Source organism: Homo sapiens, chromosome 7 (assembly GCF_000001405.40).
Source record: "Homo sapiens chromosome 7, GRCh38.p14 Primary Assembly".
NCBI lineage: Eukaryota > Metazoa > Chordata > Mammalia > Primates > Hominidae > Homo > Homo sapiens.
The window spans coordinates 123,450,769-123,465,996 of NC_000007.14; the positions used below are offsets into that span (position 1 = coordinate 123,450,769).

At 33.6% G+C, this 15,228-nt stretch overlaps 1 protein-coding gene and 1 pseudogene across 12 annotated transcripts in view; both read right to left on the reverse strand.

Moving 5' to 3' along the window:
* Positions 1–1,424: 1,424 nt before the first annotated feature.
* Positions 1,425–15,228, reverse strand: part of IQUB (IQ motif and ubiquitin domain containing) — an 82,403-nt gene continuing 68,599 nt past the window's right edge. For 10 of the 12 annotated variants that reach the window (NR_104245.2, XM_017011772.3, NM_178827.5 and 7 more), the window contains 4 exons: positions 14,065–14,241; positions 10,589–10,837; positions 6,613–6,798; positions 1,425–2,157 (listed from right to left, as the gene is read on the reverse strand). Coding sequence is in view for 10 of the 12 variants with exons in the window: in XM_017011772.3 (XP_016867261.1) it covers positions 1,975–2,157; positions 6,613–6,798; positions 10,589–10,837; positions 14,065–14,241 (795 nt within the window). In the remaining 2 variants the exon portion in view is untranslated. The other 2 variants (NR_104244.2, XM_005250162.6) reach the window with 2 other exon arrangements.
* Positions 7,220–7,326, reverse strand: RNU6-296P (RNA, U6 small nuclear 296, pseudogene; annotated as a pseudogene).

Here is a 15,228-nt window from a genome sequence, read left to right on the forward strand (position 1 = left end):
GCGCCCCTCCCCCAGCCTCGGTGCCACCTTGCAGTTTGATCTCAGTCTGCTGTGCTAGCAATCAGTGAGACTCCGTGGGCATAGGACCCTCCGAGCCAGGTGCGGGATATAATCTCCTGGTGCGCCATTTTTTAAGCCTGTCGGAAAAGCGCATATTTGGGTGGGAGTGACCCGATTTTCCAGGTGCTGTCTGTCACCCCTTTCTTTGACTAGGAAAGGGAACTCCCTGACCCCTTGTGCTTCCCGAGCGAGGCAATGCCTCGCCCTGCTTCGGCTCGTGCACGGTGCGCGCACCCACTAACCTGCGCCCACTGTCTGGCACTCCCTAGTGAGATGAACCCGGTACCTCAGATGGAAATGCAGAAATCACCCATCTTCTGCGTCGCTCACGCTGGGAGCTGTAGACCGGAGCTGTTCCTATTCGGCCATCTTGGCTCCTCCCCCCGCCCTGATGTTTACTTTCTTAAAAACTGCCATGTGCTGTGCTCTGGCTAAGTAAAGAAAAATTTTAGCTATCCTACAAAATGTGTGGCTGAAATGTTGTCAAATATTTATATAGAACAAATATTTAAAAGTTCTTGATAACTAAACTTGATAACTGGATAACTAAACTTGAGAGAAGAGCCTCATTAATTGCTGATTGGAATTAGGAGAAAAATCATATGTTTTATGTATATATAACTATGTTGTGTGTGATAGTGAGTAAAATATTGCTATTTGATTATAGATGTTCACTTTTAATTCTTTCTCCATTTGGATACTTTCTATTTAGCCCTCCAGATCTACTCTTCCCCTTACATACTCTGCTCTTTGCCTTGAAGCCCTAAAAATTATGTCAACTGACTCCTACCCCTTCTGCTTTCCTTTTGGGTTTGGCCAGCGGGAAACCCAAGCAGGACATTGGAGAAAGGAAGAAGTATGAAATTGTATATTTCTCTAGTTCATGAGATTCCCCTATGCCTGGCCGTTCCCTTTACAGCTGGTCATTGATCCTTTCAGTTATCTTCTTTACACTCTTCCTGGGTTCTCAGACTTTCTCCCCAAGTTCATTTGAGACTAAAGGGAGAGATAGCCTGTCTGATACTAGCCCTGGGTTCCTGCACTATTCTTTTAGTTTCCCTACACACTACCCACACCTTATAATAAGGCCCTTTGTAAATAAACTCTCCTTGGCTTAAGCTATTTCGAGTGTGCCATCCATTTCCTGTTAAGACTGACTGGCAAACCATTGTTCATCACTGTAGGTCCCTAACTTATATGTGGTCAAGGTCACTCCTTTGGTTTATTGGAGAAGGGCGTTGTTATGGTTTATTTAACCAGTTTATTCTTCTTATAGTTTCACCATTGCCCACAGGGAGTTTTTCTTGCATATGCTAATAGCTCCATTGTTTACCCAGAATGAAGGTTTTTTGTTTATTTATAAATAGTTTCAAGTGTTGTTTTATTGGGATTATGAGAAGGATGGAAGGTGAAAGCAGACGATAAACTGCAAAGATTCAAATGCCTATACTAAAATATAAATTTTTTTATCCTACTTAAAGAAGTTTTCAAGAAAGAGCACTTTATAATGTTTCCTCCCCTCCACATACTGATTAGCTTCCTATAACTACATTCTATCTAAAATAAATAACTTGAAAGTTGTCTAGTTTTTATTTGGCTGTTTGTTAGATTTTAACTCTAATATACTTGAAAAAATTTAAAAAATTTAATGTGAAAACACATTTTAAAATGTTTTCTTTACCCCAAAATATTAATTTCAGTAACAAAATTGCATTTCAATTTAGCACCAACTTCCTAACAAAGAATACTTACTTATATAGAAATGTTTTCTCTTTATATAACTCAAAATACTATGAAAAACAAAAAACAAAATCAATAAACAGATTAAATTCCATTTCCATACTCTGTGACCTCTGTATTACCCTATTAGCAGTGAACAAAATGCCGATCATCAAACAAATACTCCTGGATCACCTAATGAGGAGGCCTCTGGGATTCTATAATCTTAGGTGTTGTGTCTGAGTGATACTTCCATCTGATCTCATCAATTTCACCATCATCAAGTATAAATGAAGCCAGCACTGGAACCTGAGAAAAATAGTTCTTAGCCAGGATATGTTTGTGTTTGATCTTGTGAATAAATGAGCGTTCATATCCCTGCAAAGAAAAAAATCAAATTCTAGTAAATATCACAGATATATTTTGCCAGGTAAAAATACTGTCATGCCTCGGTGCCTTTGCTTGTCAATTCTTTCATCCCAGACTACCTTTATTTTTCTCACGTTGTCTATCATCATTCACGACTCAGCTCCTATGATACTTTAACCTGGAAGTTTTCCCCAACTCTCCCTCTGACTTCTCTAAGTTTAAACCACTGCTAGTTATCAACTCAATATTCATTCTTTCTCCCATTTGAGCCAGAGGCCTGATTTTGTATAGGGTGTGATGTGTCTAGCTTTCTTAGCCCTTATTCTAACTGGGGGTATCTAGTTAGAATATATATATATATATATATATTATTAATGTTATAGATATTGAGGTGAGAAAAAACAAAAATAAAAACAAAACAAAACAAGGGAAGTCTGAGAAACTGTCACCACCAAGAAGAATCTAAGGAGATAACTAAATATCTTCCAAGATTATTTAATTATACACAATATATATAACCTTATATAATTATATATATATAATTGAATAAAGCCTTTGAAAGGGACTTTTGAGAGTGGGAAGACTCACCTATCAAGCACCTCTAGCCTTTTGCCATTACTGAGAGGTACATGTAATGAAGAAGATGAACTAGCTATCCTATCACTAAGAGCCCACCAAGCATGAGAGAGAAAGCTGAAGATTAAATATGGCTGAGGAAAAAGTGAGATGGCCTGAATTTCTGAGAACAAGGTGGAGCCACCATACTAGCCCCAAACTGCCAACCTTTGAACTTTCTTGTTACATAAGAAAACTAAACCCACATTTGATTAAATCATTATAAATTGCTTTTTCTGTTCTTGTAGCTGAACCTAAATGCAACTGAGACAACAAAAAGTTATATTCATTAAATTTTCTTGTTTCTCTGTAATTACTTAGTACAGTATTTGGCACATTCAAAAGTAAATTCTGGTTAAATTAATAAATATAATCTATTACCTATTAATCTTAATTGGCCCTCTTTTCAATCAAATCACAAATACTACCTATACTTCTTCCTAAAATTTATTTTCTGAGAATAAGACATTCCCTCAATAAAGGTCTCTTCAGAGGGTCAAATCAAAGATAAAAGAAAGTCCTGGGTGAAAGGACCAAAAGAGCAGAAAACATTATATAGGAGTATCCTGGGCTTATTAAAATTTCCTCTTAACAGAAAAATTTACTAGGTTAAAATATTCATCTTTTGAGCTAATCTAACTTTGTTTCTACCACTTCTTAGCCCATATTTCATTCAAGAAAAACTAACACACTTTATTATGCTATATTAACTTACACATGTACAGAACTTTATAGGTTTTCAAGGTGCCTTTACAGTACTATAAATTATTAAAGATGAGATAAATTATGATATATGTGTTCAAGGCACTAATAAGTAACTCTTAAATAACTGAATATATTTCCATATTATATTATTTATATTGTTAAGTAAAGCAAAGAAACTAAGTCTCAGAGTCATTTAATATGAAATTCCTGCTACAGTAAAAGTATATATACTTACATACACATAGAAAACTTCCAGAAGGATTTCAATAGATTATTATATACCTAAGAAATAGTAGTTATCATTGCAACATGGAGATAGGGATGGGTGGACATCAAGAGACCTTTTTTCCCATTGAAATAAGGTCCATTCTCTTGAAATAGCCATGTGATGGTTTTAAACTATGTTCACAAATTCTTTGGGTGTACAAATAGTTCTAAGAATATTACAGAAAGGTCCCATATACCCCACACCCACATTTTCCTGAATGTGTCTCAATCTGGGTTTGTCCTGTGTTTTCTTCATTATTATTAGACTGAAGGGATGGGTTTTGGGGAGGAAGACCACAGGGGTGAAGTGCCCTTCTCCTCACATCATATCAAGGGTACACACCATCAGCATGACAGCACTGCTGCTGTTAATCTTGATTACCTGGCTGAGGTAGTGTTTGTCAAGTTTCTCTACTGTAAAGGTCCTCCCCTTCCATCCATAATATAGTCTTTGGAAAGGAGTTATTATGTACAGCCCACATTTAAAGGGTAGAGAGTTATTCTCCATCTCCTTAAGAGTGGAGAGTATCTACATAAATTATTTGGAATTCTACATGGGAGATTTGTCTATTTGCCTCCCTTTATTTATTCATTCAGTCGTTTTTTAAATTTTTTAAATTGATAATAATTGTACATATTTACGGGGTACATAGTGATGGGATGATACATATATCATGATCAGAGTAATTAGCATATTCATCTCAAACATTTATCATTTCTTTGTGCTGGGAACATTCGATATGCTGCGTCTAGCTATTTGAAACCATATATTGTAATTAACTATAGACAACCTACAGTGCCACAGAACAGTACTAGAACTCACTCCTCCCATCTAGCTATAATTTTTGTATCCTTAACAAATCTCTCCCTGTTCCCTCAACCTCTGAGACCTTTACTTTCTACATTACATTTTTTATTCTGTTCAGATTCTAAGCCAATAATATATTGCTTTAAAATTAAAAATAAAATGCATCAAAAATTTTTAAAGTGCTTTCATAGTTACTACCTAAGTTTATTCATGCCAAAAAAAACTATGCAGAAAGCTTTAAATAATGGCCTACTCAAAGCTTCCCTATGATGAGATACCATTATCTCTTTTTTATAGACGAGAAAGCTGGGTCATTGAGACATTCACAAATTTGTCCAATTTCTCCCAGCTCATGAATGGTAAAGCTAGAATTCAGAGCCAGAGCTGCTTTTATCCTCTTTACTGATTCCACTTATTTAGCTAATCTTTCTAAAAATTTATGAAGCAAAGAGGGAAGGTTTTAATGTAAAGTTGTCAGTGACAGAGATTTGAGTTAACTGGGTCAGGATTACTGATTTTAAGTCCATGATTGTTCCTACTTTGGCCAGTGTGCACACAAGGAGAGATCAATCTGCTCCACTTAAAGTTCACATTAACGAAAGTGTTTTTCCACGTTTCCTATACCTGTTTCATATTAACTTGCAAGTATTTTTTTAACTTCTTAAGAAAGCAAATATCTCTGAACATTAAGAAAATTCTGAAAATGCTCCATCTTTCTGCAAGATATAAACTACTCTTTAACTGGGCTGAAAGTTAATAGTTAAAAGATTGTATCAGCCCAAAACCATAAAAAAGGCAAATGTTTTTCCAGTTTGTCTGCTTGCAAATCTTGGTGCCCTTTACAGAAATTCGATAAGACTGGCATTCTAAATTAGAAATGCATGTGAATAGAACATTTAATTTGATACTGCAGTAATTTGATTAAATGCACAAAGGGAGTTGTGTGGATTAATTGAAGAAGCACTGGAATATCAGCTTTGGGAATGAACTTCAATCTCATCATGGGTCCTAGATGAAATGATATTGCTAGTATTGACTATGCTTCCTGTGATTAAATATTTATGAGGCAGCTTAGTTTACTAAATATAACATTTAATACAGCTTCAACTTATTGCTACCTTTTCTTTCAATCCCTAGAGTGAAATTTTTCTTAGCCTGGCTTCTTAAAACTAAAAAAATATTTAAAAACTAAAACTTTAGCTAGTTTCTTATCTTTATATTCATCACCCCTTGTTCCACTGAAAAAAAACAAACAGGGAATCACACTATTTTAAACGACTACTGCATTTTGTCATTTCTTTACTTTCCTTTAGCTGACACCTTGTGTGGAATTAAAGAATGCAGAGAATCAGTATTAACTCTCGGGATCCTGGACCTAGTGTAAATGGAGCTCTCTACGAACTCTTCAGGAGTCCCTCAACTTACCCATCAAAATGTTTTACAGATTGCATCATGTAAGTTACTAAAATTACAGTAAATGGCATTTAATGTTTACAGTGCTTGCTCCACTCCCAGCAAGTTGGAAGCAAATGAAAAATGGAGCATCAGAACTACACCCCATCAGTATGATTGCTATTTAGAGCACAAAATTATGAACAAAATTTGAGAGTTGGGTGTTTTTAAGCAGACTCATGATAATTAATCAAAGAAGGACAGATTCTGGGTTCCATAATACCTATCTGGTGGTAATGCACATTTATTCATTCAACAAATACTTATAAACTCCATTCTGTGACAGGCAGTATTGTAGGTATTAGAGAAATAGATGTAAATAAGCCAAACAAAATCACTGCCTTCATGGAATTTACCGTGGAATGTGCTTAAACTTACTATTAGGAGAGACTGGTATGATGTTTAGGACTTGTAATATGTTCAAATCTCTTATATATACCTTTTATTTAATCTGTGCCATATATGCCATCCATAAATTTTTTTGTTGTTAATCCATAAGTTCTGTTTCTTAATCTGATGGAAGTATTTAAGCATGGAATATATTAGAAGGCAGTCCAGTTATCGCTAATAATTCCAATGATTAAATTAACTTCCCAAATAAAATTCAACTTTCTTACCTCTTCAATACTTGTTAGCTTGAGATGAGCAGCTGCTTCATCTTTGGTAAGAAGAATGCAGTTCCAGGGGGACCACTCCAGGGATTTATTCCATCTGACCATGACCAGATCACTGAGATTGTCGCAAGCACTGAGGACTGACTGGGACGCCCAGATGTTCTCTGTCAGGTACTGAATGTCTTGTAGCTGCATGTCAAAGCAAGTTTTAAAAACAATGTAGTTTAAATTTGTTTAAGATTATTATATTACTTGAGCAAATAATTAAATTATAGAGTATTTTTAAGTGAATTATTATTCACTAGGTTTCAATGACACATAGCCCCTTATTTTTCACTAAACTTCTGTTCATTTTGCCTAAACTACATTATCAGTCTCACAGTTGCGTCCCCATCTCTAAACCAGAGTAAGCAGTATAAATTCATTTCAGTATGCTAATTTTACCTGAATATAATCTTAATAATACTATAATGTTACCATAATAAACATATGGTATTGAATGATCTTTAAAATTCATTAGTAAGTACCATCTTAATTTCAGGGCCATTGTAGGGACCTTTTAAAACCTTTTACTGCCATTTTACAAATGAGGAAGCTGAGATTTTTTTTTTTTAATATGGAACACTTCACAAGTTTGCATGTCATCCTTGTCCAAGGGCCATGCTAATCTTCTCTATATGGTTCCAATTTCAGTATATGGGCTGCTGAAGCAAACACAGGAAGTTGAGATTTAATAAAGATAAGTAATTCACTTAGTGTTAATTAAAAGACTTGGTTGTTTTAATCAAAAAGAGGGGTAATGAAATAGCTGTTTAAAACTTTTTAAAAAACGTAAATCTTATCAGCTAAAACTCTTGGAATGACTTTTTATCATGGGGTCTGCATTATAAATTTAGAATTGCCAGAGACGGACAAACTCAACAAAGTATAAGCATGTAAAAAGAATATTTTTTAAAAAAGCTTCTGTGAAAAAGTGTGAGAGCAGAAATATTTTCTGTAAAATGAGTACACAAAACCTAAACAATCTGCCAAAGTAAAAAACAAAAAGAACCTGTCATCATCAGCTACAACAGTATTTCATAAATTGGTAATTCAATATATTAAGCTCAACTAATGCATTCTAGCTTTTACTTAATGCTAAAAAAGACAATACTCTGTACACAGCTGCTATGAAAAATAAATTTATAGACCTTTAAAATTCAATGTTTTATATATTTTACTTACATTCAAAATGCATCTTGTTTACATTTTTGTTTTTAATTTAGTTGCTCAACTGTACTAATAATTTTGAAATTGTATCATACAGAATAACGTGTTTATTTGCATGTAAATGTCAAATGTGCACATAAGTGTGGTTGACAGTCTCTAAGAGCTTTCTACCTTTCAAGTAGTCATTGTACTTGAAATTTTTGCAGTAACAGAGCAATACTATTGCCTATTATATTAGGCAGTATTTGTATGCATTACAGATAAACGAGGTGACTAGTACAACACTCAAATCTCTTGTCTAAGCAGAATGTTTACTTTTTATATATATTAACTTTCACCTTTTCATTTTACATGGCATCATGTTCACATTTAACATATGCTAATCTTTGCTGTTGTCCACAAGATTTACTATTTATGAGAATGTTCAAACATTCAAATTATGCCTCAAATACTATTACTGAAATAAATATTAATCAAAACTACACCAATTACAAGGGGGGGGAAGCTACTGGACACTCATATTTGTCTGCTAATCCTAGACATTGGAAAAGTAATAGACCAAAACCCTACATAGATACGGTACTGAAATTAAATCACATCTAATGGAGATTATCCTTATCTGAAAGGTTACAATGCTCCCCTAGAATTTTTTCATTCAATATGTGTAATGGTTGATTTTACATCAACTTGATGATGCCACCGGATACCCAGATATTTGGTCAAACGGTATTCTGGTGTTTATGTGAGGGTAGTTTTGGATGAGATTAACATTTAAGTAAGTCAGTAGACTGAGTAAAGCAGAGTGTCTTCCATAATGTGAGTGGGCTTTATCCAATCAGTTGAAGGCCTGAATAGAACAAAAAGTTCACCCTGTCCCCAAGTAAGGAAGACTGTTTCTGCCTAATGGCCATTGAATTGAGACACTGGCTCCTCCTGGCTCTATAGCAGCCTGCTGGTCATCAGACTTGAACTGGGCCATCAGCTGTTTAGGTTTTAGACTTACCAGCCTCCACAATTATGTGAGCAAATTCCTTGTAACAAATCTCCTTATATGTATATATATATAACATATATGTATAACATTTTCTATTGGTTCTGTTTCTCAGGAGAAATCTGACTAATACAACATGGAATATTGAGCCAGCACTTCTTGGTGACTTACATTAAAGCCCTAGTACATCTAAGATTCTCTACAAGGAAATATACATCTGTCATGTCAATAATTCCTGAATAAAAGTAGCAAATAAGAATTTAAGCTGAAATAAACATCAAATTTATTAACAAAATATTCATTCTATTGGACAAAATATGTAATCATTTTAATTTGTGCTTTTCAAACTGTGGGTTGCTACCTCTTGGGTGATACCAAAGTTTTCCAAATGGAAATCAGAATAAGTAGACTGAGATTGAATAGAAAATATCAGAGTACATCCATAGGGGTAAAGATAAACACTATTTTGGAAACTTTTATTTCTGAGGCAGAACAGCATGTGTTTACATGTACGGATGCTGGGAATCAGACTGCCTAGTTTTCAATCCTGGTGCTGGTACTTAGTAGCGTAAACTTGGACAAGTTAGTTAACCACTCAGTGCTTCCCTTTCCTCACCTGCAGAATGGAAATAATGCCTATTTTGATAGGATTTTTGTGCTGATTAACTCAATAAAGTGTGTAAAGCCATATAGGTACTGAGTATTGAGAATTATCATGCATGCCTATATCAGGTTGTCATAAAAATACATTTTTACTATAGATTGAGATTTAAAAGTTTGAAAGCTATGGATTTAGAAGAATTTTTTAACAAAGCACATCACATTTGGTATCTTTTTTTTAATCTCTATAAAGTTTTCTATTCATAGTAGTGCCTACTTTCCTATTTGGTATTAAATACAATTTAGTTCATTTTAATTAGTAACTAATTTACAGAAAATTTGCCCTTATTTGACAGTCTGTGAACACAAATATCATTAATGAGGTCAATTGTGCTCTATAATATACTTTTATTAATAAGTGGCTAATGTTGGGTAGCCATATCAACAACAAGTAAGTCCTTCTGTTTTCTCACTTGCTTACCTAAGTCCAAACAGTGTCAGGAATTTGTTTTTATTTTGTAGAGACACAGACTATCCTCTGGCCTAAACCCAATAGAAGACATGGAATAACCAAAGAGACCGAAGTAGTGGTTAAGTTAGGAATTCAGGTCAGAATTCCTGATCTCACAGGCTCCACCCTCTCACAGAGCTAGAAGTTCTTACGAGAAGCAGATTACGTAGGGTCAATGATCCAATGCAATGATTCATCCAAAAGAACTCTGGCCAGAAACTTTCCAGTTGTGTGGTATCATATCAACACTTTACATAGACAAGTATCAAAGCCTTTCCCTAAGGTTTTTTTTTTTTTTTACTTTCTATAAGCCTTAGCTTTCACTTTTGGTGTTATTTACCATTATGGTCACATTTGGTTTACACTAATTATTACTGTTATTCGTAAACACTAGTATGTGTATATGTAACATCAGTTTCTGTAAAAGTCATTCATTCATTCAACAAATATTGAGGGCCTTAAATAAAAACTTGGTACTGTATTAGGTTATAGAGGTATAATGGTGAGCAGGAGGGAAAAAAAGCATACTCCTGCCCTCACAGAGCTTACAGTCTAGTGGAATAGAGAGTCATTAAACAATCACACACACACACACAAACATACATAAGATTGCAAGATAGCCTCCTTGACAAGCTTCAGCTATAATTGGCACCCCTTATTGACCATACCTGCATCAAGAAAGCAATTTTAGAATCATCTTCATAATCAGCTTCTGTATAGTAGAGCTGTTGAAGTAAACATTTGTACTTCAAAAATGATTCTCGTTTTTGAGCCTCATTCTGAAGGTTAATGCAGTTACGACACCGGTATATGCGGCGTGAGGTGGATGATACAGAAAATTCTGTAGAAGGCAAATAAAGCTGGCAACTGTGGCAAAAGTAAATCTTCTTATAAAATTTCAATGGGTCTTGAGGGACCTAAATAAATAGTAAAAAAAGAAAAAAAAGGTCTAAAAAGCCAGGCCAGGCCAAATATGATCCTAACCAATGGAAGCATCAAAGGCTAACTTACTTATCTTAGAATGAGATTTAAAAAAAAAAGTTGGCTAATTTCTAAAATTTTATTTTTCCCTGAACTTCTTATCCTACAGAAAATCTAAATTTCAAGCAGTATTTATTCATCCTGCCAAAATATTGAAAATCTGTTATTCATCAGTTCTTAGATATTTGTGGTAAAATCACTTATAAAATTAATTGACTGAAAAAAATAGTAGGAAGAGGCTTTTTATTGTTAGGAAAATTTAGATTTTTTTCAGTTCTATATTACATTAGTTATTTCTATAGCTAGATTCGCATATAAGTAAAAACCCACTAACCCAATTGTTCTTCTCGTTTAATTTATCTTCAAAATAAATTTAGATTAGTTCAAATGATTAATTTTCAAAGTTTGAAATTCTATGTCTAAAGCAATAGACAGAAAGTAATTCTACCATAAAATAATCAACCCAATTATTTACTATGGGCTAAAGTACCATGAATGAATGAGTGAATTGTGAACATTTCAACACAAACTGAATCAAGACATATATATGCCAGTCTTTCCTAATTTATGGTACCTCTGGTTTCCATGAAAGTAAAGATCAAGCAGCAACAGAGTTTGCATGTGATATATAAGACTTTCAAAAAATATTTTTATAAAGAAGGAAATGGACATCAATGTTCTATAAATTTTTTCTCTTACTCAATGTGGATTTAAAATATTTACCATTATAATCTCTTCTAATGTTTTACTTTGTTCTGAATATCTATCTGTTACCTTTCTGCACCTTCCCCTCTACTCTGCGTTACTTTTCCTAAACACTCCATCTTCCCAAAGGGTAATATTCTTTGAAAACTTCATTGTCCCTTGTCTTGTAATTTTGGGAGATAAGAAAATATGTAAATTTAAAAGGTAGTCAATTCTTCGAGAGAAAAGAAGAGTGATCTAGGTGTATGATCAAAGATCAAGAAGACAACTTATCTGGTTCCTTTTCTTATTCTGAGATTTACACATTTTGTTTATCTTGAATGATTATTTTATCTTCATGCCTCCTAGGCATTAAATTAGCAAATATATCAGTCAACCTCATGAAAACACGTTAGCACACGTCTCCATTATAGATGGAGCATTTACTATAATGCCATGGAAAGATATTCTCCACCCATCTGAAATTGTGCAAGAAAAAAATAACTCATTCTTATTATGATTATGATGACAGAGGGCTCCATTTAAGCTACAGAATTAAACTCTACAAATTCTCCAGTGTACCTACTCCCAAAAAGTGGTTGTGGGGGTAGTGGTGTTCCTTCAAATTCTTCTCCCACTATGCAAACTAAAAATGTGCAAATGAGCCATTCCTTTTTAAAGCCAGTAACTTTTAAATCCAGCCAGTAGTTTGAGATATTAAAGAGTATATTCCCCCCAAAAAAGAAGTACAGGATAATCCATAGATGTGTCCTAGATTCAAGAACAAACTTTAAATACTTTATCTTAATTAATATATTTATCATATACTGCAGGCAGAAATGCAACATGGTGCAGTCAGTTTGGAAAAAAATGCTTGGTTGTCTCTTTTTAAAGTAAACATGCATTTACCATGTGATTCAATATGCCACTTTCTAGGAATTTACCCCAAAACAATCAATTTACCCAAAAACTCATATCTAGTGCTTGTAATGATTTTATTCATAAAAGACCAAAACTCTCTAAACAATCCAAATGTCCTACAACTGTGAATGGATTTTTAAAGAACTCTTGTATATCCAGATATTAGAATATTTTTCAGCTATAAAAACAAACCACTGACACATTCAAAAACATGGGTGAATCCATGCAATATGCTAAGTGAAAGAAGTCAGTCTCAAAAGACTACATATAGTATGATTCCATTTATATGACCTTCTGAAATAGATAAAACTATAAAAATAAAACACATATCAGTGTTTGCCAAGGATTGGGAAGTTAGGGAAAAAGCTGACTACAAAGTGGCAGCATGAGAGAATTCTGGGGGCTGATAGGACCATTTCTTATTTTGACTGTGCTACTGGTTACATGACTCTATACATTTTTCAGAACTTACCAAAAAGAGTAAATTTTACCAAAGACAAATTTTAAAAATAAATAAAATGATATAACATTATGTAAAATTGTAGAAACTCTATCAATTGTATTACTCCAAATATAAACTGAATAAGTCTACAGAGAAAGAAGGTGGCTCAGACAAATGAAACACTGGTTTGAGTAAGAAATAATATAATGGGAACTTTTTCCCTTGGACTTTTGTTATATTTTAATATTCTTTTTGCAATACAATCAGGTTTTTAAAAATCAGTTTAAAAAATATAAAAATTAAACAATTTTTATTCTTCTAGAAGTTTTGACTAAATATGAGAATTTGTTTTTTCAAAAAAGCTAAAGATGTTTAGTCAGCTTTTTAAGTAAATTTTAACTGAATATAATCATTGAAATAAAACTATAATTCTCTGACAACATACTCTACCCCAAGAGTTTTGCTAATAGTGTTTTAAATAGCTCTGCACAGTAAGAAGGCAATGAAGCATTTGTCTTGGCTTTAGAGAGCCACAGAAGCCTAACGACGCTGGAGTTGGAGAAGATAGTGTAATTCAAATATGTTACATTTGAAGTTCTCTCAGAATATCCATATGGACCTGTTCAGTAATAATTATAACTTTGTGATAAGTGTTATAAGGAACACCAACAAGGTATAACATGGAATCTCAGAAAAAAAGAATTTAACTCCCTGTGAGGCCTCATGAAGGAGAAGAGATGAGATGAGAATTGAGTCTTAGAAAATGAACAGGAATTGGCTGGGTAAATAGTGAATAGCATTCCAGGGGAAACCAACGGTATGTACAAAGCCATGGAGGCGTGAGAAATCATAATACATTCAACGTAATGCAATATTCAGTTGGAAAGTTGGTGAAGAGATTAGGAAATAATTGAAGGTTGCAAATACACATAAGTCAAATGAGTAAGTTTAATTTACCAACATAACAAAATATCATTCAAAGGAGATACTACCAATAAGATGGTATTCCACATGGACTCCCAAGTAAAGTGTTAAAGCAAAATTTGAATATACTTCAATTTACTATACCACATCTTAGGATTTTGAAACAGGAATATAGAGAAAAATGTAGAATACCTTAAGGTATTTTGCAACTTCAGGATTAAACAGAGGTGTTTTGATATAATGAAAAAAGAGTGTCGCAATTCTTTTTCTGAGTCCTTCAAGGTTATGATGTTTGACTCCTCTCATCATAAGGTCAACCTCTCTGTCAATCAATTCTAGAATTTCCTGAGTTAGTTTACATTCATGTTCCTATATAAAACACAAAAATATATGGTATAAAATTTTACAAATCACTAAGTTCACTTTCAAATTGCCACCAAAACAAACCAAAATCTACATTCCTAAAGAAATGAAACATTGTCAATAGGAGTATAAATTGGCAAAACTAATAGTTCATTTTTTGTGGTATATATAGTTTTGTTGTATATATAGTATTGTACTATATACAACAAAAACTTAAATCTTACAAATTAATTTTAAGCAAAATACTCAAGGTACAAAATAACAGATACAGTACAATTCTGTCAAATAAAATTCAAGAATAAGCAACACTAAACCATATTATTTAAAGATTTATACAGAGGTGGTAAAACTATGAAGAAAAATCAAGAAAATGACTACCATGAAAGTCAGTATGATAGTTACTTCTAAGAGATGACAAGAGGAATTGTAATTCGAAGGGAAAAGAGGACACCAGAAACATTGGCAACTTCCTGTTTAATATTTGTTAAACTGTACGTATATATTTTATTCACTTTTCTGTCTATTTATTATAGGTCACAATATTTTTTATAAAGTAATAGAAATGAGTGTGGTTGGATGAAAAAGCCACAAGTAACAAGCGATTAATGTAGAAATATTTATAAGGTCCTCCAATTGCCCAAGGGAAAACTGGAAGATACACAGCTTGAATGAAGGAGTCAGAAGATAAAGTCATTAATTGTAAAATAATGCTCTTCCGTACTTTGTACTACATAGTTGGTAAGGCTAATATGAGAGTCTGCATCAGTGGTCCTTTGACCTGGAGGCACTTTAGAAGGACCTGAGGGAGATTTTTAAAAATTTTAATATTGTCCTCATACCTGAGGAGCTAATTTAACTGCTCTGAAGTGGGGCCTAGGTATTATACTCATTTATGCTCATATTCATTCATGCTGTCCCTCTCTCAGGCTCTCCAGGTGATTCTAATATGTACTGAGGTTTAAAATTCACTGGTCTGTATTAGTAACTATCATC